This window comes from Homo sapiens, chromosome 4, assembly GCF_000001405.40.
Source record: "Homo sapiens chromosome 4, GRCh38.p14 Primary Assembly".
NCBI classification, from domain to species: domain Eukaryota; kingdom Metazoa; phylum Chordata; class Mammalia; order Primates; family Hominidae; genus Homo; species Homo sapiens.
The window spans coordinates 157,352,928-157,379,544 of NC_000004.12; the positions used below are offsets into that span (position 1 = coordinate 157,352,928).

General features: G+C 32.6%; 1 protein-coding gene across 7 annotated transcripts in view; it reads left to right on the forward strand.

Moving 5' to 3' along the window:
• The window catches only part of GRIA2 (glutamate ionotropic receptor AMPA type subunit 2), a 145,956-nt gene extending 132,808 nt beyond the window's left edge, over positions 1–13,148 (forward strand). For 3 of the 7 annotated variants that reach the window (NM_001379000.3, XM_047450131.1, NM_001083619.3), the window contains exons 13-16: positions 6,969–7,216; positions 8,083–8,197; positions 9,872–10,120; positions 10,508–13,148. In NM_001379000.3, the coding sequence (NP_001365929.3) occupies positions 6,969–7,216; positions 8,083–8,197; positions 9,872–10,117 (609 nt within the window). In that variant the 3' untranslated portion in view covers positions 10,118–10,120; positions 10,508–13,148. Of the gene's footprint in view, positions 1–6,968; positions 7,217–8,082; positions 8,198–8,610; positions 10,121–10,507 lie in introns of all 7 variants that reach the window. The other 4 variants (NM_001379001.3, NM_001083620.3, NM_000826.6 and 1 more) reach the window with 2 other exon arrangements.
• The last annotated feature ends 13,469 nt before the right edge of the window (positions 13,149–26,617 follow it).

Here is a 26,617-nt window from a genome sequence, read left to right on the forward strand (position 1 = left end):
GGGCGCCTGTAATCCCAGCTACCGGAGAGGCTGAGGCAGGAGAATTACTTGAAATGGGAGGCGGAGATTACAGTGAGCCGAGATCGTGCCACTGCACTTCAGCCTGGGCGACAGAGCGAGACTTCATCTCAAAAAACAAAACAGGCCAGGCGTGCTAGCTCACGCCTGTAATCCCAGCACTTTGGGAGGCCGAGGTGGGTGGATCACCTGAGGTCGGGAGTTTGAGACCAGCTTGACCAACAAGGAGAAACCCTGTCTCTACTAAAAATACAAAATTAGACCAGCGTGGTGGCGCATGCCTGTAATCCCAGCTACTCTGGAGGCTGAGGCAGGAGAATAGCTTGAACCTGGGAGGTGGAGGTTATGGTGAGCCAAGATGGCGCCATTGCACTCCAGTCTGGGCAACAAGAGCAAAACTCTGTCTCAAAAACAAAACAAAACAAAACAAAACCTTATAGTTGGCCAGGGCGTGGTGGCTCACGCCTGTAATCCCAGCACTTTGGGAGGCCAAGGTGGGCGGACAACGAGGTCAGGAGATTGAGACCATCCTGGCTAACACGATGAAACCCCGTCTCTAATAAAAATAATAAAAAAAAAAATTAGCCAGGTGTGGTGGTGGGCGCCTGTAGTCCCAGCTACTTGGGAGGCTGAGGCAGGAGAATGGCATGAACCCGGGAGGTGGAGCTTGCAGTGAGCCGAGATAGGAGATAGAGCCACTGCACTCCAGCCTGGGCTACAGAGCCAGACTCCGTCTCAAAAACAAACAAACAAACAAACAAAAAAACAAAAAAACCTTATAGTTATAATTGTCAATAAATACCATTTACATTTTTAAGAAGCTGAGAAATTACATTATTTTAGTGTTAGAAGTACAATTTAATGCAAATCTTGTTAATATTTTAAAATTAGTTTTATTTAAAATGATAAATTAATCGTATAGAAAAATTTTCATGAAAAATCAAACTACTTTTCTTTAAACTATTTTATTAACTGTAACCCTTTATAAAAAACTAATTTATTATATTTTAATAAAAAACAGAAACATTGTGAGTTTTCATATAAAATGTCATGATTACCTCATGCATCTGATTTTAATGATTCGAAAAATATTTTATGCTCACTTGATTCATTACTTCATGGAATTGACAGTTTGAATACAAATTCTTTTAATCCAAAAACTGAAACATGACATTTTAGGAGAGCTTAATGTGCAAAGGAATGTCGAGAGAAATATTTTTATTGACTTCAAGTATTTACCATTAAGTTTTTAATTTCATATAGGTAATATATGATGTAGTTTTTGTGTAAAATAAAATTAATATATAAGCAAAAACCTACCATCTTTAGCCAAATGAATAAGAAGTAGTAAGTCAATGGAATTAAGCTCTGTGAAAATCTTTATTGGTACAACACAACTTTATTATTCAGGCGTGCTTAATTTATATGAAATGTTTCTTCAACAATGCTAGACAATGAGCATGTTTTTCCTTTGACTCTTTAAGGATATTAATATGATACACTGTTATTTTCTGTGAATTATTAGTTGGACTGATATGCCTATTAATAACACAAAACCATGGAAAAAGATTTGAATAGCTATGTTTAAAGAAACTTGACTTCTTAAGAAACACAGAGAAGTCAAAGTATGCACCAGATTAAACTGTAGGCATCATTTTTCTCCTCATCAAAATGTGATGGCAGATGTTGTTACTGGTGCACTGGGTTCTTGCAGTCTCCCAGGATAGAAATCAAGAGAAACTACCAGTTATAGCAGCAAAAATGAAGTTTATTTAGCTTGTGCACAAGGGTCCCAGCACTGAGAGGGGAAAAGAATGCTCCATTAGGGTAGTGCGTATGTTAGTTTTATAGGATCTTTCTATAGGGAAGGATTCTGTCAGGACTTTTCTAGAGCTTGGGCAGTGGCGCAACATGCTACATATGTCATATGTAGCATTAGCATTTTAAGTCTTCCCCCCTGGGAACTATTTATACCATTAAAATAAGGAAGGGGTAACTATAGGTTGGAGTTTAATTCTAACTGTGCATGCAGTGGCTCCAGGGAAGACCCTAACCTTCTGAAATAAAAACTTACAATTAAGAGCTTCTTGGGTCTTTTGTTACTGATTGACTGAGAGTTAGATAAGCTAGAGCTTGAGTGAGGGGCTTTTATCATTTTTCTCCAGCTCATATTAAAACAGGGAACCAACCAGCCTGCTTGTCTCAATGTCATCCTGAATTATTTCATTTCACTTTATTATACTTGCTTAAAGAATGATTGTATTTGATTTAACATGTAACTTCAAAATACACAGTCTTCCGGCCGGGCACAGTGGCTCACGCCTGTAATCCCAGCACTTTGGGAGGCCAAAGCAGGCGGATCACCTGAGGTCAGGAGTTCAAGACCAGCCTGGCCAACATGGTGAAACCCCATCTCTACTAAAAATACAAAAATTAGCCAGGCGTGGTGGCACGTGCCTGTAATCCCAGCTACCCAGGAGGCTGAGGCAGGAGAATTGCTTGAAGCCAAGAGGCAGAAGTTGCAGTGAGCCGAGATCATGCCATTGCACTCCAGCCTGGGGGACAAGAACGAGACTTCATGTCAAAAAAAAAAAATACACAGTCTTCCTTGGCTTAGCTGTATGGGAAATATATATATATATTTATTTATATATATATTTATATATATTTATTTATATATATTTATTTATATATATTTATTTATATATTTATTTATATTTATTTTTATATATTTATTTATATATTTATTTATATATATTTGTATATATTTATTTATATATTTATTTATATATTTATTTATATATTTACATATATTAGTTATATATATTTATATATTTATATATATTAGTTATATATATTTATATATTAGTTATATATATTTATATATATTTTTATATATTTATTTATATATATGTATATATTAACATATTTATATATATTAATATATTTATATATAAATATATATATATTAATATATTTATATATATTTATATATTAATATATATTTATATATTTATGTATATTAATATATATATTTATATATTTATATATATTTATATATGTATTTATATATATTTATATATTTATATTTATTTATATATGTATTTATATATATTTATATATTTATATTTATTTATTTATATATATTTATATATTTATATTTATTTATTTATATATATTTATATATATTTATATATTTATATTTATTTATTTATATATATTTATATATATTTATATATTTATTTATATATATTTATATATATATTTATATAGAGAGAGAGAGTTTAAATTTCGTGAAAAGCAGCATGTAGATTTGCGAAAGAGGTAGAAAATCAAGGTGCAGTTGTTCCTGAGAAAGACTTGTAACTCTTCCCTGGGGCCATCTTGACAGAAATGATTGTCAACCCCTGTGTTTTCCTTTTGCATTGCATCATGTTCTTCTCTGGACCAGCATTCAGATCAGTATTACAGATGATGGGAAATTATGTGGTTTATTTTAAAAGTGTGTATGGCTTGCCTGTGTTCCCTCTTCTACTTTGGTAAAATTTGCTCAAATGTAGATGTTGCTTATGAGGGTGGTGATCATCATTGCCTGGCGTTCATCTCCAAAGTCCACACAAAGGGGCTAATTGAGGCAATTCGATTTGTCTTTGATTTGCATTTTCTTTACAATTGCTTAAATTATCTGGGTGCTTTTGGTAGAACAATGTGTGCATGTAACATGAAATTGCTGGATTCCAAAATTTTAACAGGAAATGCTATTAAGAACAGTATCTTAGTTGACCACATGGTATTACATTATTTTTTAGTGTATTTGTAAATATATTATAAGAAATAAGTGGTCAAGAGGCTGGAGTGGATCCGATGATTGTAGTGTGCTCCCCAGTGCATCAGGTAGACCACAAATATATGAATTAGGCCAAACTAAACACTGTCACCTACATTAACCTACTAGGTTGGCACAAAAGTAATTGTGGTTCTGCCATTGAAAGTAGTGGCAAAAACAGCAATTACTTCTGCACCAACCTAATGAAAAATAACTATAATTTATCATGCATCTTCTTAGATGAGAAGCCCAAAACTTTGCTTTACCTTTGGAATGTTTTTCTGCTGGTTACTTTTTTATTTTTGCTATGGTTTTGGAGAAAATCAAGATTTCTAGGCATCATTTTTATTATTTAGTCTAAGACTCTTTCTGATATGTTTAATAGAAAGTAAATGCATATATTCTGAATTGTCTCTCAGTAAGAATGTCATCAGATTCCTCTAATTCTTGTTTTGAAAGTAGCTGTGAAATTCAAATTAGTAAATGTCTTGTCCTAATGAATCGCAGTTTTCAACAGAACAGTATTATAATGTCTATGAGTTATCTTATTTGTCTACCTTTGGCTAAATATGTTCAAACAATAGCTCTTGAAAAGATAGGGTCATGAAAACATTTTATTAACTTTGTTAAAAAAGGGAACAGTAAACTAAAAACTGTGAGCCAAATGATTTAGCTGAGGAAAAATTGTCTATCTTACAGAAATTCTGACTTATGAAAAAAGTTACTTTCAGTCTGATTCAGTATCATCAATGTGTATTTTAAAGTCTCAGATACTTTATAGATGTTATTAATCTACAATTACATCATAAAATCATGCTCCTCATAAGAATATGTCATATATGTTATAATACATGTGAAGCCTCATTATAAAAAAATGACTAACAGAACTTGTATGTCTAGGTGACCTAACATACCAGAACTAATGACCTAACATACCAGAACTAATATATCTTCTAAATGATTCAAACTGCAAAGACAGCGATCAACAGCTGAGACGAAAGTAGCTAGGTCCATTTTTTTTCTAGATTGTATTTTAAAATCCTTTCATTCTTGGAAATATTATATTTACACTTAGAGAAATATTCTTAAAACCAGCCGAAAATATTTTATGAATGAAACAGAAAATGTTATTGCTAATTTTTGAATTTTCTCTGAAGGGCATTCATATTTCATGTAATATTTTAATGCCTCAAAATTGATATTTTAAACTTGGAAAAATTGACATTTAATGGATGATTTGATAAAATAATTGTGTCATCATTTTGAACTCTTCTTTATCAGCCTGTGATTTTGTTCCAAAATTGTGATATTGACGTCATGTTTTTGTGAGAATTCACATTACAAAAAAACTTTGAGGTTTAGCCAGATTGCTTCCTATTTAATCAAACTCAAATGCTATAACTAATCTTTCAATTTGGTTGAGAATATGAAGGCAGACTATAGGAGAAAACACAAACAAGCAGTTTCTACAGTAGGCAAAGTTTCAGAAAAAGCAAAAATGGTTTTTCATTCCTAACTAAATCACAAAATAGCTAATTAGAATACATTTATTAAGAACCTACTATGTACAAAGCTTCATGCTAAACATAGCTGGGGTCCTAGTAAAATTTTCACTCTCATAGATATGCTTTTACAACAGAAAGAAAGCTTGATTCACTAGGTAATGAATTTTAAAATCTAAAATCTGAAGCGGCATTGTTTGGTAATAGATTTAACAGTGGTTTACTTAATTAGGTGAGAGAATAAGTATTAAGAAGTAAGGAATGTTGACATATCTTTAGAGTTAAAGTGCCTTTTTCAGGAGACAGCTGGCCTTCTGCCTGCATAGACCACTGAGCTGAAATGATCCATGAGCCTGTCTCAATACAACAGCCCCTACTCCAATGGTGACAGTGAGAAACACAACTTAAGTCTGAGCATCTCTGTTATGCTATCATAAACCCCAGTGACACAAGCATACTCTATACTCTATTTGCACTTGACCCAAGATTTTCACCAAAATAGAGTGCTTTTATATGTAAAGCTACCTGAATCCTCAGAGCAGTATTATAAACCATTTGGATTTATATCATATGTCTGCTTTTTGTAAGGTAAAAGTTATATTTTTTAAATTCCTTAGAATAAAAAACAAACAAACCCCCCCCAAACCTCTTAAGTTTTAAAAGTAAGTCTTCGATTTCAATTTTTCATTTCAAACTTACTAAATTAAAATAACAAAAGGGGTTATTCAAAGTCATCTTCCCAAAAGGGATTAAAGTCATGAGAAAGTTGTGAATAGAAAAATAAGCAGACATTCAAATGCTTTGACTTTCCAACTCTATGCTCAGCTTCTTTTGAGTCTGAATAGGAAGTATTCAATGACTCTTTTGATGTGTATCTTTGCTTTTGAGTCCATTAAGTTTTAAGATAAATATTCCTTTAATAATACAGTTTCAATTAGCCTTTCTTTCTTTCATATCTGTCACTGATAAGAATGTTGGTTTTTTTCCAGTATATCTTGAAATAAATAGGATTTTGGTGTTTAAATATTCAAAGAAAAAAGTCCTGTTTAATTAAAAGAAAACTTCAATGGCCAAAGAATATTCTTTTAAAAATCAGTGTTATTCTAGAAATGTTTCAGTCAGTATTAGATAGAAGTTTCCAGCGTAATATTATCTTTATTCCACAGCGAATAGGCATTTCATTAGAATCTCACCACTTACATGCCTGACCAACCCACATTACACAGATCCTGTTCTACCACTAATTAGGAATCGACCATTTAGGATTTGGGCAGCAAAGATATCCTTTTTGTTGTCTCCTAATTTGAATTATTCCTATAGATAGTATAGTGCATTTTTCAATTTATTTTGGATTGTGACTATTTCAGATTACTTCTAGATATACAGTATTTTGTTTACCATAGTAAATCGATGTTTCAGGTCCTTGCGAATCTATTAAAAATGATTTGGCATAATAACAATTTCATAGAATTGTTATTAGTGAAAAAAATTGTTGAAAGATGAGATTTGTTCATATTGTGTATATCATCTATGTTTTGAAAAGTAATACCTCTTTTTGTGTTTTGTGAGTAATTTTTTAGGGCCATCTCTTAATGCTATCTGGCCCCTTACTTTTCCTGCAGAGATCTAAAATTGCAGTGTTTGATAAAATGTGGACCTACATGCGGAGTGCGGAGCCCTCTGTGTTTGTGAGGACTACGGCCGAAGGGGTGGCTAGAGTGCGGAAGTCCAAAGGGAAATATGCCTACTTGTTGGAGTCCACGATGAACGAGTACATTGAGCAAAGGAAGCCTTGCGACACCATGAAAGTTGGTGGAAACCTGGATTCCAAAGGCTATGGCATCGCAACACCTAAAGGATCCTCATTAAGGTGGGTGGAATAGTATAACAATATGCTAAATGTTGTTATAGTATCCCACCTACCCTGATGTATCTTTAAGACTCTCTTACGGTTTGTATACGGATATGAGGTAACTCACCATCACAAAAATGACCAAAAAACGTTTCTGAATGTTTTTAAACATTTAGATACTGTTTTATATATTTATGACAGGATTTTGTTTTGTTTGGTTTGCTTTGTTTTAAAACATATCCTTTTTTTTTTCCTTTAAGAGTTAAAACACATTCATTTTAAGGAATACATGTTTGTTTAGCTTTACTTTGTTTGAGTTTTTTTTTCCACATTTCTAACTACCTTGTCAGTCTACCAGCCTGCTTACAAACACTCTGCATACAGACTAAGCAAATGGCTGTATCCTAACAGTAAACTGAAATAACTAACTGAGAAATATGCCACTTTTTAATTTTCATTTTAATTTTTGTTTAAGGGATATACTTTGGGGAAAGGAAAATGCACTTTGAATTTCTTTGCACACATCTCTTTACTATGTAGTTAACTCTTTGTATTCCTATTTTGTCGTTTGTTTTTTTTTTAGTGGAGTCACATTCAAGACACTGTTATTTGTTTGTTGTGGATGTGAGTACATTGCTGTAGAATATAGAACTCCCCATATTAGCACTCTTTCCTTTATTTTCTTTTTGTTATGCTCTACCACCTTACCCAAAGTTTCAGATTTTTAGTAGCTCATAGTAACATATTATTGTGGCCTTTTTCCCACTTCATTTTTTTGTGACAAGAGTTGCCACAGAAGCCAAAGAAAAACAAATTAAAACAAAACAAACAAAAAGTCTAAAATTTGCTCACCCTGTCTGACAAGTATGTTTTATCGTTTCAAGAAATGCGGTTAACCTCGCAGTACTAAAACTGAATGAACAAGGCCTGTTGGACAAATTGAAAAACAAATGGTGGTACGACAAAGGAGAGTGCGGCAGCGGGGGAGGTGATTCCAAGGTCAGCCCCAGTGAGAAAAGTAATGGGTAACTCAATGCAAAACAAAGTAAGCAGCAGCTATGCACAGTGTGGGCACTCCGTGCCACCAAGTTTCCAACGCTAAGCTGAAGAGTGCAATTGGATGACCAGGACACTTGACTTCTTCTTTCTTTCTTCCTCTACTTCTCTTTCCCTCTCTTTCTCCATATCTCAAGGAAAAATTTGTAACTAATGGATTTGTTGCAAACTGTTGCACCTGCTGGTTACTTCCAGCGATACATTAATGCTCATTTGGCTCTGCAAATCTTACCGTTTGCTTAGGCCAAATGGCGCATCAATGACTATCGCTCTTACAAAGCTCTTGAATCAGTATTATGTAATGAATAACATAAAATAACATTGATAATGTTATTTATGTTATTTTCCACGTGAAGAACCCCAGTAAATCTTGCAGTATTGAAACTCAGTGAGCAAGGCGTCTTAGACAAGCTGAAAAACAAATGGTGGTACGATAAAGGTGAATGTGGAGCCAAGGACTCTGGAAGTAAGGTCAGTTGCTGCAGGTTTTATGTGAAAAAACAAAATCAAACACAAACAGCAAAATCAAACCACAAGTGTGTTAGTGGGAATGACCCATCTTAAATAGAATGTAAATGCAAATATGCATGAGATGCATAATTTGGTAAGATGTTTTGGTAATGCCTGCAGAGTTACTGATTTGTTGTTTTTATTTTATTTTAAATATAGTATATGCATTTAATATATTTATTTCAGTCTGTGTTCATGTCTAACTCATACATAATAGTGCATGAAACAGCAACATACTGAAATAGAGTAAATGGCCTAATGAGAACATTAATGAAACACTTAAGATTAAGTGATTATAGGGATGTGTGTTTTCCTTGTCTGTTTTGATGGCACAGTTGCAGCATCTATAGTATCACTGATTGGCAAGACTATTCGTGTGCATCATGTGTGCTCTGTTTGTATTGAATGGCAAAGCTTTGTTGTGAGATGTAGTCTAGTGGATGAGAGTACACTGAGGGGATGAATTTTGGAGACCAAGAGATCAAAAATGGTACACTGCAATTCTAAACATGTCCAAAGCCTACTTGGAGAGTGAGAATGTACTGGAACCTTCACCAGCCAACATATTGCAGGATAACTTCCTGAAGGTTTATCTTAGCCATCTTAGTACTTTGAGGGATTGGAAATGTGGTCAGTCCTCCATTTATGACTCTACTAAGCCAGTAACATGGTCAACATTTAAAACTTGCTTCTACAATCACACGTATGGTTTATTTTAGCCCTGTTCGCTGTCAGCTTTACCAGATTATTTATAGGATGAAGAAACTGTCTTGTACCTTCAATTTTTCCCACGGTAATGGAATATAACTATTTATCAATTTATCACTGCAACTGACATAGCCAGGGAAATGTTTAAGAAATGAATAAATAGAAGTTTATTCCCTGCAGGTAGTCGATTGAGTCCACCAAAATCTTAAGCTAAATTTTATGTTGTTTCATGGTAGCTGTTATGAAAATGGACCATCTAAGAGAAAATCCATTGTTTCTCAAATTCAAATGCATTCTGTGTGACTAGGTTGTTCCCGTGATAATGCTATGTGACATTGCTGTTCTCTTCTATTCACCAGTTTGCCTTCCTAATAACCTCTTCTCATATACATTCTTTAGGAAAAGACCAGTGCCCTCAGTCTGAGCAACGTTGCTGGAGTATTCTACATCCTTGTCGGGGGCCTTGGTTTGGCAATGCTGGTGGCTTTGATTGAGTTCTGTTACAAGTCAAGGGCCGAGGCGAAACGAATGAAGGTGGCAAAGAATGCACAGAATATTAACCCATCTTCCTCGCAGAATTCACAGAATTTTGCAACTTATAAGGAAGGTTACAACGTATATGGCATCGAAAGTGTTAAAATTTAGGGGGTAGGAACGAGGCTCTAATACAAACTTTTTAGTGCACGTTTAGCTTTCTTGTTGCGTCCTTAAGCTCTTTTAAATAAGGAAGGTGGCCAATGGATCATCCTGTATGTATTGTTGACGTTCTTCCATGTTCCCAGTTGGTGACTAACCTGCAGCTCAACTGTCTATTTTCCTCTTTAATGGCACAGTAGCTTGGGTGAATGTGGACAGATTCCTGCCATAATTGTGCTTTATTATTTGTAGTTCAGCTTTGCACTGTTTGCTTTCATTTGCTAGAAGCTTTCAGATAGAAGTAAACTTTTCAAAAACAACCCTGCCTTTCCTCTGGATGCATTTGAAAACCATAACGTATGATTTCTTTTTCTTTCTTTCCCTCCTCTCTCATTTAAGATGACCTTGAATGATGCCATGAGGAACAAGGCAAGGCTGTCAATTACAGGAAGTACTGGAGAAAATGGACGTGTTATGACTCCAGAATTTCCCAAAGCAGTGCATGCTGTCCCTTACGTGAGTCCTGGCATGGGAATGAATGTCAGTGTGACTGATCTCTCGTGATTGATAAGAACCTTTTGAGTGCCTTACACAATGGTTTTCTTGTGTGTTTATTGTCAAAGTGGTGAGAGGCATCCAGTATCTTGAAGACTTTTCTTTCAGCCAAGAATTCTTAAATATGTGGAGTTCATCTTGAATTGTAAGGAATGATTAATTAAAACACAACATCTTTTTCTACTCGAGTTACAGACAAAGCGTGGTGGACATGCACAGCTAACATGGAAGTACTATAATTTACCTGAAGTCTTTGTACAGACAACAAACCTGTTTCTGCAGCCACTATTGTTAGTCTCTTGATTCATAATGACTTAAGCACACTTGACATCAACTGCATCAAGATGTGACATGTTTTATAAAAAAAGGAAAAAAAACATTTAAAACTAAAAAATATTTTTAGGTATTTTCACAAACAAACTGGCTTTTAAATAAATTTGCTTCCATATTGGTTGAATAAGACAAAAACAATTAAACTGAGTGGGAAGTGAATAAAAAAAGGCTTTAGGTATCGATTCCATATTTTTCAAAGCCAAATATGTAAATGCTAAGGAAAGTAAACAAAGAGGAGATTCCAATCTTGTAATTTAATATTGTTATTAAAACTTTAATGTATCCTATTCTTTAACATTTGGTGTTAATATAAAATTACTTGGCAATGCTTGACATTTGAAATAAACATTTTTCTATTGTTTTATTGCAAGTGGTCCAATTAATTTTGCTTAGCTACAGTTTGGTCATAAATCAAGTGAGTTTAAAGACACTACCAAGTTGTTAGGTGCCCAGAGAAAATTTCTCCCTTTTAAAAAGGCCAGGTGATTTTTCAAATGTAATCTTGCCCCCAAAGTAATATCTGAATATCTTTTTGACATGTCTAAATATATATATATATAAAGAAATATTTGTTAACACAAAAGCATTTGATCTATGTAGATAAATGCTAATAGATTTAAAAAGCTAATATTAACAAATACCAGAATACGTGAAGTTCCATTTTTAAAGTGTTTGAGCTTACAGAAGAGAAACATTCATTTTAAATGAAGTAAAAAATGCCTTGAAAGTAATTCTTTAGATAGTTGCCCATTGATTAAATTCCAAAAACTAAATATGTTTTTAGCTTTAAAATTATAAAAGCTGTCATAAACTTTATATATTATGAATTTTAAAATATGTTTGAGTCTCCTGCAATATAGTTTCATCCCATTGACATCAATTAAAAATAACCCTAATATATTATTTTTATATTTATTCCTCAGGTGGAATGGCTATTTTAATATGCCCAGTGTGGATAAAATGTCACATTTCTGTAACTTTTGACTAAAGAGCCTATATTTATCTAGTTAATGAATTTAAAGGATCTATCTTTCCCTTCATAAAATACCTCTTATTTCCATTAAAGCCCCCCAAGTTTAATTAATTTAGGATTTTGAATGATTATTGACATCCAATAGTTATTTTTAATATTTGTATTCTTGTTATTTCTGGAAGAAAGCCTTTGTGTAGCACTTGGTATTTTGCAAAGTGCTTTTAAAACATTCTTACTTACCGTATTTCATAGAAGGGAAGGAAAAATGTAAGGTTTAACAGTAAGCACTTGCATTGAACATGGAGGCATGTGGTATCATGATATTCTTCACTAAATTTAGCTGTCCCTAATCACAGATCCTAAGGTAATATAATATAATTTTAGTGCATTTCTCCTCATCAGGAATGCTGGAGGTGCATTTTAAGTTTTAATAATAAGTGCTAGAATGACCAAATTGCAGACTAATTGTTTCCATATTGTACTTAAAATGAGTTTTTAAAAGTGAAAAAGAAATGACTATATACAATCAATGCTATTTATTGTACCTCTGGGCCTACTCTTCTAAAAATTGTAGCTTATCGATTTTTCTCTGTCAAGCTTGAACTAATGTAAATAATTGAAATAATGTAAAGTTATATTTTCATGTTTTTATAGATACAACATGACAAGAATACATAATGTAAGAGTATTTCAACTATGGATAATGTTGATTGGATAATGCACATCTCAGTTACAAGCAGTACTCATAGTTTAATATCCATGTAACGGTGCATCAATATATTGCTATATAAATATGTCTGTGTGCATATAAGTGAAAAGTGGTCAAACAAGAGTGATGACAGCTGTCTAAAGGTTTTTTTATTCATTTTATATAAAAACTGTTATGGAAAGACCAAAATGTTTATGAACTATTCTTATGTAAATTTACAATTGTCCTTTACTGTACTTTTTTGTTTACAGTATAGTACCTTATTTTCTGCTGTGTTAAGTGGGTGTCAAACTCCAAGAAGACATACACTTTCTATAACTTCTATTGAAGATATTGGAATTTCCAATTTTTCATGTGTACTATGTCAGAAAATGCTTTCGATTTTATTTTTAAATCTAACATCGGATGGCTTTTCCGGAGTGTTGTAAAAACTTCAATCATACATAAAACATGTTCTTACAAAAGGCAAAGATCTTTATTTTTTTTACTTAATAGTACTTCAAACTAATAACAGTGAGACCAAAAAGTGTATCTAAGTTTATTCCCAAACAAACCCAACTGTTCCTACTGAATGAGGACATCTTTGCTCAATTTATTTATCAGCTAAGTACGAAGGTAACAGAATAAAAAAAATTTTGTAAGCTAAAATAATTAACAATTCAGGTCATTCATACCTACACTCATTAAGTGCTTCACGTATATGTAGGAATATGGCTATGAATTATATTACTCATTTTATTATAGATATACCCTGCTACTACAAGATCAGGCAATACCATCACCAACCATTCCATTGTATGTTATCCATTCAGCTGCTGTGATAGTCACATTAAACAGCAGAAAGGTGACTTACTTTAAAAATTCCATAATGTGTTTACAAAAAGGTGTTCTTTCAGTATTGTACTGAAAGAGAGTGTTAATGAGAAGCTAAAATTCTTGCCGCATTCAGTTTTTTTTACAAAGATAATCATTTTTTAGGTAATTCTATCCACAAATATTCAAAAATTATTAAGACACTATAGTTTTTCAAAGTTACACATTAACACCTTTTAATTTTATAGATTTTAATAGATTTAATGTTTCATACATAAATATACCAATGAATCTGCTTAAGATAACAGTTGGAGATCTTAATTTTCAAATCTGCAGATATTTTAAATATTTTGGTGGTCATGATAGCAAATAGGAAAAATGAAGGGAAGCATTAGCAATATAAGAAAGCTACAGGATGATTTCCAATACAACACCTTAACAATATCATTTAAAAAACATTTGTTGAAATTAATTAGAATATGGCAAAATGTGATTTCTCCCCTTTCTTCTACTCCCAATCTCATCATTTCCTAGAGGTACCGGTCTAGCAAGTTTAAACAAGCCAAGAATCACTTCTAGGTTAGAATGTATTTCTGGATATTTACATTTTTTTTCTGCTGGATAAAACTGATTATATATTTCTTTTTGAAGTAAGTGGTTTGATTGACTTAGCCACAAAAGTTGTCATTATTATCAATGTTAATTGATAATATATGATTATTAATAATAATATTCTGTGGGCTTCAGAGACTATTTTGGTTACATTTCCCAAATTTTATATGTACTCTCAACAACTTGTTAAAGGAAATATCAGAATATAAATATCTGTTTAAAAATAGAGCAAATTTTGTGCAAAGAGTTCTCATACTTAAAATAGGTTTATTTTTAATCACCAACATAAAAGATGGGTAAGTATAAGTGAATCATCATGATCTTCTGAATGAAAATTTGGAAATGCATTAAAAGGTTTGTAAAAGTTGTATCACATTTTAAGCAGGAAGGGATTCATTCTCTTAATGTGTTGTTTTGGCAAGACCATGACAACAGAAATTCTATTAGCTACTAATCAGGAAATTATACTTTCTCTATTTATGTGTTTTAAAACAAAACATAGACAGCATATGGCACTCCAAGTACAGAGAGGTTCAAACATACTTATGTAAGCATGATGATATTTAAACAGGGGGACTAAAACAAAAGCTGTAAGATCCAGTGAATATAGAATAGTACCTAGAGTAAATCCAGTTCATAAGAATCTGTCTATGTGTTTTATATCCTGTCTCTATTCATTTCTTCTTGCTTTACCATTTTATGATCTCTTCTTGCCCTTAAATACTACTGCCATTTTTATACCTATTATACTTTAAATGGTATCTCATTTTGTAGTTTCATTCATTTTGCTTTTTTTTTCATGTTATTCCATCTATTTCTAGCTTGCCTATTCTAACAGATTTTGCTTTGTGGGCACTTGAAATGCAGTTCATTTTATCAAAGACATGACTGACAGTTTCAGAGTCTACTTAATAACTATAATAAATGACTAAGGATTTCTCTTGTGAAATAAAATTTCTTGTTAAGCTCTATTTCAGCATTTCTCACATATTCTGATTCCATAATTGCCAATTTGTTATATTCCTCCATGTATTTACAGAGTTCCAAAATTTATAGAGTTTCTGTAGGAAACGAGGGTCTCTTCTATGACACAGGAAGAATGAGAACTCTATTTGAGTGTTTGCTTATCAGAATTCTCTTTTAAAGCCACTTGACACTGAGCACAAGCCAATTCTCCATTTTAATTTCATTCTCAAGCACTTCCAGATTATTCCTTAATTCCTTTTTTCCCACTAGGTATAAGTAAATTTTGCTATTTAAGAGCCAAATTGCTTTTTCGATATGCATAAACTCACTATTACTTCATTGGATATGCCTGAATTAGCTGAATGAATTTGGTCATTTTTCTTTCTTTTTTTTCCCTTTCAGGTTAATGTGCCAATTTCATTTTACTGTAAATTGGAATGTGGGGGAGTGGATTAAGTCTTGGGAGGTAGTCAAAACCAGGATTCTAGCTTTACTTTCCCTTTTTCTCTTGCTTCTCTTTGTCTCCTCAACTGGAGTATTTGGACACTAGGACTGTCTCACTGGAACGATGACAGGGAATTTGATATGATTATTAAAGATAGGATGCAACAATGTGTCTTTTAAAAATAATGGTTTAAAGAAATGGGTTCATGTTTGGAGTGCCACTTGGTGCAGAAAATGTTTTTGGTATCCAGATCCAATTTTATTTCATCATCTCAAAGCATTAGTAAAACAGTTCTATCCTGTAACTTTCATTTATTAATTAATTTACTTATTCCATCTGACAATATTTATTGAATTTTTTTCCTGTATAAATATTGGCCAAGGTAAGGGCTAAATTTGAAGCCTCTATTCTGAAGATTAAGTGTTATATTTTCATTAAAGGATGTAGTTCTTTCATCCCATTCATGTAGAAATAATATTATGATTACTTGGATTAGTCTGTCCAACAATTTTTAACCGAAGAGATTCAAACTTTAATTTAGAACAGATATCTGATAGCATTCCTCAACAATCTTAAATATGGACTCACATTTTATTTTCTTATACTAATCTTAGATTGTGTAAATTGTATGTCTAAATTTATTTGCCATTCATTCAATATTTTTATCTCTATTCTCAAAGAGTCTAATTAAATCCATTAACAAATATCAGTTTGGTAATTCTAAATCTCTGCCACCTGTATAGCTTATGTATGTATATCTAGTATCTATTTCTTTGTATGAGTGTTAATTCAAAAAACATTCTAAGTATTTTTGCTTAGCAGCTAAACAGCATCTTATACACAAATAGCAACAAAAATTAAAGAATATATATATCCTTATAAAGGTATACATATGTATCTTAAGTAAATATATGTGTCTATATTTATTTTTTAAAATATGGTAATTTTTCAACCAAGAGCCTACCAATTCGGAATTTATTCCAGAAAATGTTTAAAATGAATATCACTATTTGTCAATATTTATTTTTATTTAAATATTTACACTAAATCACACCTAAATTCCATGAGGGTAGTTTATTTCAGATGGGATAGCCTCAGGGAAAATTTGAAGTTCTATTAAATTTTGTAAAAAAAAAGAAAAACATATTTTGTGTTTAGGAACATATATGTTACAGCCATCATATTTTGATTACTATCACTCATTATATTGCCAATATTAATAGGTGAGGAAATTCATTTGATAAGTATCAGAATCAAAGCCAGGTATAAATTAATAGATGTATATTTTCTAGTTTTATTTTACTATTTATATTCAATTTAGAGGTTTTATATATATAAATCACATTTTTTCCCCAGCTTCTTATGGTCAAGAATTTTGTGGTGTAAGAAATGTGTGCTCACTGTGCTGACTGGAATTTTATGATTTAAGCTATTGAGTATAGTTGACTCATATCTAAAGGCACTTTTGTGTAAATATTTACAGATTTTAAAAGAAATCACCTCATGAAAAGATTTGAAAGTTTCTTAAAACCATTATGTAGAAAATGGAAATATGTTGTACTATGAACTACGTATTCTTGCTTTGCCTATGCATTCTATTTCCCCACCCCTACAAATTAAACCCCGTTTGACTGGTTATCAATTACAGAACAGTTTTACTGAAGTCTAAGTCATGGGTTGCGATCACATGTAACAGTCAATTTTACATGATTCCTAGATTATACACAACATATCGAACTTTGCACATCCTTCTTGCAAATATGTGCCTTAGTTCACAGTGAGGGATAATGTGGATGATTACTGTTCAGCTGTCATGTCTATTTCGGGTTTCTTTTTAAATTAAAATGCATTCCCAGCTTTATAATCATATTTAGTATGTATCTTAAAAGGCTTTCAAGTCTGTTTTATGTACATTATCTTGTCAGCTATTTGTGTTAAAGAGATAAACATGTCTGTTGATTTTTATTTAATGTTGTTCGTGTTTCTGTGTGTGTGTATGTTTATGTGTGTATTAAAAAATCCACATCCTCTGTAGCATTTACTCTGATAATTATTTATAAAATTGTTACCATAAATTATGAGTTTGTAATGCAAAAAACACTAGATAAATTGGAATAAATTATTTATGGATTTTTTAAAGGGTTTTCAGAAGAAATTAATTAGCCACTCTTAGGTTGGATATATGAGTCAAAGTAACTTAAACTTGAGTCCAAAATTATGCCTTGCTGTTTTTATGTGAAATTTATTTTAAAGGACTTACTTCACCAAAATTAAATTTCCAAGATTTGTCATTCATAATTAGCTATCAAAGCATTTCCACATGGAAAAGGCTTTTGGAATCAAGTTTAAATTGTCTCATCTTTTGCATTTATTTCATCAGAAAAACAAGAACTTGTGGGAAATAAAATTACACTTCAATTTCAGAAATAGTTTTCTCGAAATCAGAAAAAAGTATATGCCTCAAATATCTAAATACAGTTTCTAACATCAAAGGTTAGTAAGTTATCGATACAATTTTCAAAGTGTCATGATCATCTTCAGGACACCACTTTCCCTGATGAGATACTTCCCGAGGCTTGGAGAAACTAAGCCATTGGCCAAGAGAACATAGCTAGTAAATGACAAAGCAGGATTGTAACTCAGGTATGATTCTCTATTTGAATACTTTTTTTTCCTTTATCAAATAAAATCTCTTTTTTATCATACAAACAGCTATATGTGAGGATAGTAGGAATGCTCTATTCAGAGGAACATAGGATTTTTCCCCCATAATTGATGTCTTACCTTTTGAATTAGGATACACTCTTGCAATTCAATTTGTATCCAGAAACTTTTCTTACTCTGAGTAGGATATCATATCATAGAAATGGCTGTAGAAACATCATGGCAATTTTAAATATTATTGCTATATATTTTTAGTAAGTAACCACATTTATGTTTATTAATATCCTAAATGTTTATGATGAAAACATAATTAATTACTCAATTAGCAATTAGAAAAAAAGATACATGTCCATTTTTGCTTAACAGTTGTCCTAAAACCTTTTTTAAAAAGGTACATTATAAGACAAATGCAAGTTGTCATTATTATATATTAATTTGCTTTTAGAAAATGTGAAAATATTTTGCAAATAAAAATATGAATTAGTTAAAATTATAAAGTATGTAATGTCAAATATGCATTTTCATGTATCAGATGTTTATAAAGATAGTGGCTTTTAACTCTATTTGATTATTAAAGGGTAATATCTGGGCTTATAGTTTACATAAAACTTCACATTAAAATTTAATACTATCATACAGCAATACGTAAATTTCAAAGCACTTTCATGTTTGATTCTTAGGTTTTTAGTCATTATTCACACGTCACCACATTATTCCTATTGTCATATCATCTTTCCCAATACAATAGCAAAACCAGAAAATATTTTCACAAGCGTCACACTTATTTTATGTTAGGAAAACATGCATGCATTTACTATTTTTACTTCCTCTGTTTCACACTTATTTTTCCTATAATTTTGTCTTATCCATCTGGCCAGCTTTCACTTATAGGTATTGACATGACAATGGTTGTTTGATCTTTTATTTTCCTCTTCCTTATTGTTAAACCCTATAAAAATCTTTCCCATATATGATTGAGCAAAAGTCTAGTAATCTCTCAAGCAGCATGTTAATGTTTTGTTTTCTTGTGACACCTTACCTGTATCTCCCATACTCACTCTGCCCTAAGCAAAGCTGATTAAATATTTTTCATTGTTCAAATGCTGTACCTGGTTGAAACGTCTCTAAAGGAGCAATGATGCTATACTCTAGTGGTTTGCTTAAACATCAAATTCCTTTATTATAGTGCAAGCTTCCTGCAGCAGAGAATACATATGTCTTATTCATCGTCAAGTACCTGACAGGTTTTGGGAATGATAATAATAACATATAATTACAATGCACATAATATGTCAGGCATCACATTATGAAGAACACACTATTGTTGTAATCTTCATTTTACAAATAAGGAATTGGAGGCACAAAGGCATAGAGAGGTTAGATAATTTGCTCAAAATCACATAGCTAGTAGAACGAAGAACAAGGTTTTGTACCTGGGTTTGAGGGTAGCAGAGTTAGCACTTGTAACCTTCACATGAAAAGAGATGGGTCACAATATAAATGCTATCAGATAAAAAAATGTTCTAAAAATAAAAAAAAGTGTTGACACACCAAACAGCAGACAGGTGCCCAGGGAGTAGATGTGTAACAAGCACTCATACATCACTGGAAAACATCACCGAATGTATAATGAAGTGGAGAAAAGGGTATTTAGTGAAGTCCCCATGGGATAATAGTAGGTGTAGTTGGAAGACTGCTCTAATAAGTCATCTGGGCTAGAGTGAGATCCCTGACAAATGTGCTCCAGTAATAATGGAGAACTGCTAACCTGCCACGTAGAGAGAGCGTATCATGTTAACTGCAGAGCTTTTGCTTTGCTGAGTTTGGTGCTGGAGTAGAATTGCTAAGAAAATAAGGTGAAATTAAACATAAATTGTCTCTTTCACAGTAATTTTTTATACCACATTATTTTTATGTAGGGCTGCTTTTTTTTAAAAAAAAATTTATTTTATGGCCAGATTACTGGAAAATATCGTCTAACTAAATGAAGTTAATTTTCTTTAGGAATCTTTCTAATGACTTCCTTTCAAAATGGCCATATTGTTGCAATTTCTCCTTAGCCGCCCTCACTGAATCAACTTTCACTGCTTATAATGTGAACATAGATATTCCTGGGAGATATTTTTCATCCTAGCTCAACTCTTTTCAAATTGCACTCTCTATCTCGTAGGAAAACCATTTTTTCCTATGGATTTTATTATCATCTTCATGCTGAGTTTTCTCAAATGTATGTGCACAGCCCTGGCCATTTTCCTCAGTTCCAGACTTGTATATTCAACTGTTCAGTAACTTATTGTTAATATAATTAATATTATTAATAATAATGACTAATAGTAATTGAAAAGCTATAAGATGCCAGCCACTATTTTAGATTTTACATATATTAATGCTTTTAACACAGAAATGAAATGCAATCAATATTATCATTATCTCTATTGTACCTTAAATAAATGGAGGTAAAAAGAGATTACATAGTTTGTCCTTAGTCTCAACTGCATCTAGAAATCTCCACAGGGACTCAACCTGGACAGGCTTTAAAACTGAATTCATTATCTTCCCAGTAAAAATTGTTCCTCCTTCTGATAAGTCCCTTTTGGTTACATTTGGTCCTTAGACTACCATTGTAAATGTGAACTTTCTTACCTGTAGAAAAAAACATAAATTCTATTTTAATTATTTGCATAAATGCAGGAGAAACTCTTTCATAGCTAATCTTTCCTCATTCATAATTCACACTTATGAGCACATACAGACACTAATCAAGGTATTTTGGAATATTTGTAAGTCCAAGAGAAAAAGAAATTCACAAACAATCCTTAATGTTTTGTTTCTTAAATTGTAGTTCATTTTATTTTAGCAATTTATCATCGCTCCTTGTGTTAAAAATCACTTCTAGATTGTATTATGTTAGAGTCCTAGAGGGCTCATGCTAATGTTCTGTGCCCTCATTTAATGATGTATTTATTTACTGAATAAATACTTATTGAACATGTATTATGTGGCAGGCTTTATACCATGCTAGAAAACATGGTACTACTGTCAGTTACATTTTGTCTATTTCAAGTTGAAAAAAGTAAATTATTCAAGGTATTCATTAAATTATTTTACTTTCACTTATTCCTTACATATTTCAAACCCTCTTACTATCTTGCTACATTACTTCTTATGAGATGTGGAATTAAATTATTTTAACTTATCCAACAAATATTTATTGAGCACTCACCCATTGTATTGTACTAGGATGATGTCGTGTTGATAAAACACACAGAGTCCATCTCTCTTTAGAACTGCCTTGTAACCTGTAGAAAAGATTTTGCACAAGTAATCATACACAGAAAAAGAGTTATAAAGGAGAAGAATGTGCCATGGGAAAAGGCAGGCCCAACCTAGTCTGAGTGGTCTCAGGAAGGCTTCTGTGAGGAAAGTGATGTTTAAGCTGAGACATAAAGGACAAATTGGAATTATGGAAAAGGAGAAAACATGTTGGAAGAGGAACATTTCAGGCAGAGGAGACAATGGCAAATCTGAGGAACTGGAAAATATCACATAAGTCTGGAATATAGAACACCAGGGGAGATACACTGAAGTGATCTCTTTCTTGCTCCATTAGCTTCTACTCTGCACCTCTTTGTAGCTTCTGAAATATTTCATTCAGGAACAAACGTGCTTAGTTTTTGTTTGAACAAAGGTGACATTCACTTGCTCCTTACAGCAATCATATTAGATAGGAGTCATTATTACAAATGTGACTAATGAAGAGTGGATAGGGAGCATGCCCATATTCATTCAGGGATCTACAAAGGGTCAGAACCAGGCATGGAGACAGCTCTTTGGCCTCCAGCCCCTGATCTTTCTATTGTATCATATGCTGTTCTACTCGCTAGTGAGTACATAGCAGTGTGGTTTGAACCATGCCACACTTTACTATGCAGCTCAGAAAATGACCTGTGCCTGTGCTTTTCAAATGCCGTGTTTTGTTTACCCTGGAATAGATTTTTGTACACCACAATAGATCAAAATACCTCTCCTCAATGAATTTTTCCTCTTTGTTTTTAAAAAGATCAAATGAATCTTCACACCTTCATTTTTGATAATAAAAATACCTCAATCACATATCACATTTTTGTGATAATTTCTATTATTTCTTTCCAGCTGATTTTCTCAATATTTTAAATGAAATATATTTGAATATAATTAATACTTTTATTATATATAATTAATTATTATATATGATTAATTATATTGTTAGATTTATTAGATTTATTTATTAGATATGATTCCATATAATAATAATAATAATAATAATATAAACTCCTGTTGAATCTTCTCCAAAAATGTTTATTATAGGAAATATTGAAAAGCATAAGCACATAAAAAGGGTTTGACCATCTATTTGGAGCATTTCCTTTGATCTTCTAGTCTTCGTTTCTTAAGCTTTTCACTAAGTACTGCGATGCTCCTTTCCCCTCAATCCAGTGTTCTCCATCTGTTCTCTCAAATGTGATCTTTGCCATTGGAATGTAGGATTTAAGCCATAGTAACCCATGAAAAAGACATACCTGTGCTGAAAGTCAAGGAGAATCTCACATGTTGAATCGAGGCTATGCATTTGTGTCAGTAGTTGCTCTACTTATTAGTTAATTGGCTTTCAAATAATTGGATCTAGTTTTAGGTTTCAAAGGTACTGACAGTTACTACTATTGTGCAATTAATTATCCATTTCTTTCTAGTGTCTAACCTGTACTTAATCAATCAAAAGGAGCCACATATTGATCAGAAATGATAACCAGAAAAGAAAATAAGTAGTTTAGGTTGTCTGTAAATTAAATATTTGTTTTTCCAGGTGTAAAGAGTTGCCTGTGCATCACATCTTCCCTAGTTTATCACCCTGGGGATGGTTTTCGAATTACATGATGTTCATTCATTCATTAATAATTTCTCACTCATAAATATTTATTGTATCCATTATGCATCAAACAACGGAAAAAGGCTGAAGTCTATTGATGGAGACAGACATGTAGAAAGATTATTATATGTAATGTAATCCTTCATTCACCAAATATTTATTGAATACCTGTTATTAACACCAGGCATTGTTCCAGATAATGGGAATAGAGAGGTAAACAAGTCTTAAGGAAATAAGTCTTTATTCTCATGCAGATTACTCTCTTTTAAAGGGGACTGACAATAAACAAATGGTCAAAAAATACGTATCAGGATATTCTGAGTAATATGAAGTGAAAAAAGCAAAGTAAAGAGGTAGAGATGGATGGGGTATTATTTTTGATAAGGAGGTCAGGGAAAACATATCACCCTGAAGTATGGGTAAAATTTGAGCAGAAACGTATATGAAAGGAGGAAGTTTTTTGAATATCTGAGTGAAGAGAGTAGGAATGAGAGGCACCTGGAAGTATATAGTAGTAATATTTCTCTGAATAGAAATTTACATAAATAATTGAAGCTGAAATAGCTTAGATAATTCAGAAGAGCCAGTGGCTTGAACACAGTAAGCTGGAAGACAGTAGTTAGAAATAGAGTCAGGAGTACCAAAGGTCTAGGTCTTTTAGAGTTTTGGGTCATGTTAAGGACTTTACATTTTATTCAAATGTGACAATGCCAATAAGGAATTTGGAATAAGAAAATGACATGACCTAATTTATGCATTAAAATTGGCTGTGGTTGAAAAAATCACTAACCTTCACTGAATGTTACTGTGTGCAAACACTGTGCAAAGCAATTTTATCTTGAATAATGTGTATCATCCTTAGATCAACTCTGTCAACTCTAAGGTATATTATATTCCTCTTATTTAACAAATGAAGAAACTTAGATGCAAAAATTATCCAACTCTGTGGTCACAGAGCTGGTGATGTTTGAGCTGGTCATTGAAACCAGCAAATCTGGCAGTATAAAACACGTTGCTTCATCAAGGAACTAGACCACAGAGGAATATGAAGAAAAGAGGAAGGTAGAAGCTATACTGAAAGTCCAGGTGAGAGATGACACCTGGAGTAGTGTGAGAAGTGGGTGACCCAAACCTTGAGCAGAAATACTACAGGATGCAATGATAGATTGCATGTGAGAGTATAGACCGACAGACAGTAGGCAAACCGTGGTGCTATTTACTGAGATTAGAAATGGGGGGGGGGGCAGGAAAAGGCTTGTTTCATTTGTTTAATTGCTTGATTTTATTTATTGGATGCGGTAGAAAATCTAGGTTTATTTTGTTTTGAAAGAAATTTGAAATAGCTATTTAGACTGGCAAGTGACACAGTCAAGCGGGCACTTGGATAGACTCATCTTAAGACATAAAATTAGAGAGTCCTCAGCACGGAGATTGCATTTAAAACCCCAAGATTGGATAAAACACTACCAAAAGTTCTAAGTGTTGGTTCCTGGAGACTGTAGTATCTAGAAGTGGGGAAATGAGGGGAAATCAGTGAAGAAGACAGAGAAGCAGCAGCCAGTGAAGTTGGAACAAAATCAAGAGAGTTTGGTGTAGTCAGTTTAATTTTTAATAGAGTATTATTAGAGAACATGGAGGTTATGGAATTCCTTAAAGCAGGTAGCTTCTAAGCGAAACCGGATATGCTGAAGCTGGTCACACAGAAAAAGAGGCAAAGTTAATATCCCCTTAGATGCCCATCTAGACATCATGTAGAAATAAAGCACATTGAATATCATGCTTTCATTACTCAGTGAATACCTAAAACAAGGACCAAATGTGCAAAGATACAGTATAGGAACTCAAAATTTAAAAAGTCAGGAAGCCATTGCTTACATAGCGTCATGGTCACTGAAACAGGAGTTTTGCAAAGACCTAATATCTTATGTCCCTAAGATACCAGAACAGCACATTTCTGAGCCCATCAGAATTAGAATGAGTATCTTATCTAAGATTCTGTATGGAATGACACTGGTTCTGAGTGCTTTGTTCACTTCATACTACCGTGATAGCAATCAACAACGACAACAAAAAGCGAAACGGTCACTCTAAAGATAATTAAGCTGAGTATTTGCAACAATTTGTTGCAAACGCAGTTGAACCATGGTTAAGACCGTGAGATACGGAAGGAGACACATCAGGTTCAAATCAAATAGGTGCTCTACAACCTATTATGTGTTAGTTGGGAATCTGTTTACTCTCTCTCCTATTTCCACATCAGGAAAATGAAGTATCTATTTCTTAAATAGAGATTACATGATATAATACATTAGGGTACATAACACAGTGCTTGGCCTAAGATAATAATTGATCAACCTATGTTGCCTTGTGCTGTACCATGTCAGTTTATAATGTGAGCATTTCTGAATACTGTATCATTAGTCTGTGAAAATTTAAGGACTTAGGAATGCTACATTTAGATAACTATTTTCTTATTACTAAGCATGAAGGCTCTACATTTATGATATTATTAATAATATTTCTCTGAATATAAATTTACCTAAATCATTGTCTACATCTTTGATTGGCATTTCTTGACATATTTAATGTCCTTGCTTCTTTTTTAGTCTATGATTTATATTTCATGAAACCAAATTACAGTTTTACAATAATAGCTAAGAGCTTCCTTCGTTAATTTACAGATTTTTCTGCCCAACATTTACCACAAAAAAATCACACATCATTATAATGTTCCTTTGTGCTACATTTTTCTTAAATTTATAGAGATAATGAAAAGGAAAATTAGCTGCAGCCCGAAAACTCCTTTTAAATTATGCATCTGAGGACTTCTTTACAAAGCTGTTTAAAACAGCATAGAGCTTTACTTATGCCAAAGAAATTCTCCCCTATCACACATTTTAAAGGATATGATGTATCCTACATTCCTTTTCTTTGAGTTAACATTGTATAATTCAGGACATAGATGATGAAGACTATGGTTTTACTAACTAAATGATTATTAGTGTTTTAGGGGAATTATTGTCCAAAGAATAGAGACTCTCTTTTTCCGGCCAAGCTAAACTTGAATTAATTAAATCTCTTTATGAAGCAGATGTTGAAAAACTTGGAAATTCAGTGGGCAGGAAGGCATCAGTCAGAAAAGATTTTTTTTAAATTATTAATTAGTTTTTAAACATAGCTCTTTTTACTCTTATTTATTTTTAGCAATTTAATCAGATATTCCTGGAATAGGTTTTGCAGCCCTTCTGCAGTTGCGGTTTCTTTCTTTGACTTGTTTCAGAAGTTACGTCATTGTCAACCTTCCCCTTTGCTTATGATGGGAAGACAAAGAAAGGTGTGCCGGAGGTCAGGCTCTATGAACCTGACATAATCACTGATTTCCCAAGTCAAGATGCACAACAAGCGATGGCATCTGTTTACCATTCTTCCTGTTTTTATTTTTGGCACTGGAAAGACTAGACTTCAACGAAGTCTCATAGAAGAGCGCTAATCACTATTAATACTTTAGAATTGATGTAATGGCCAATATTAGA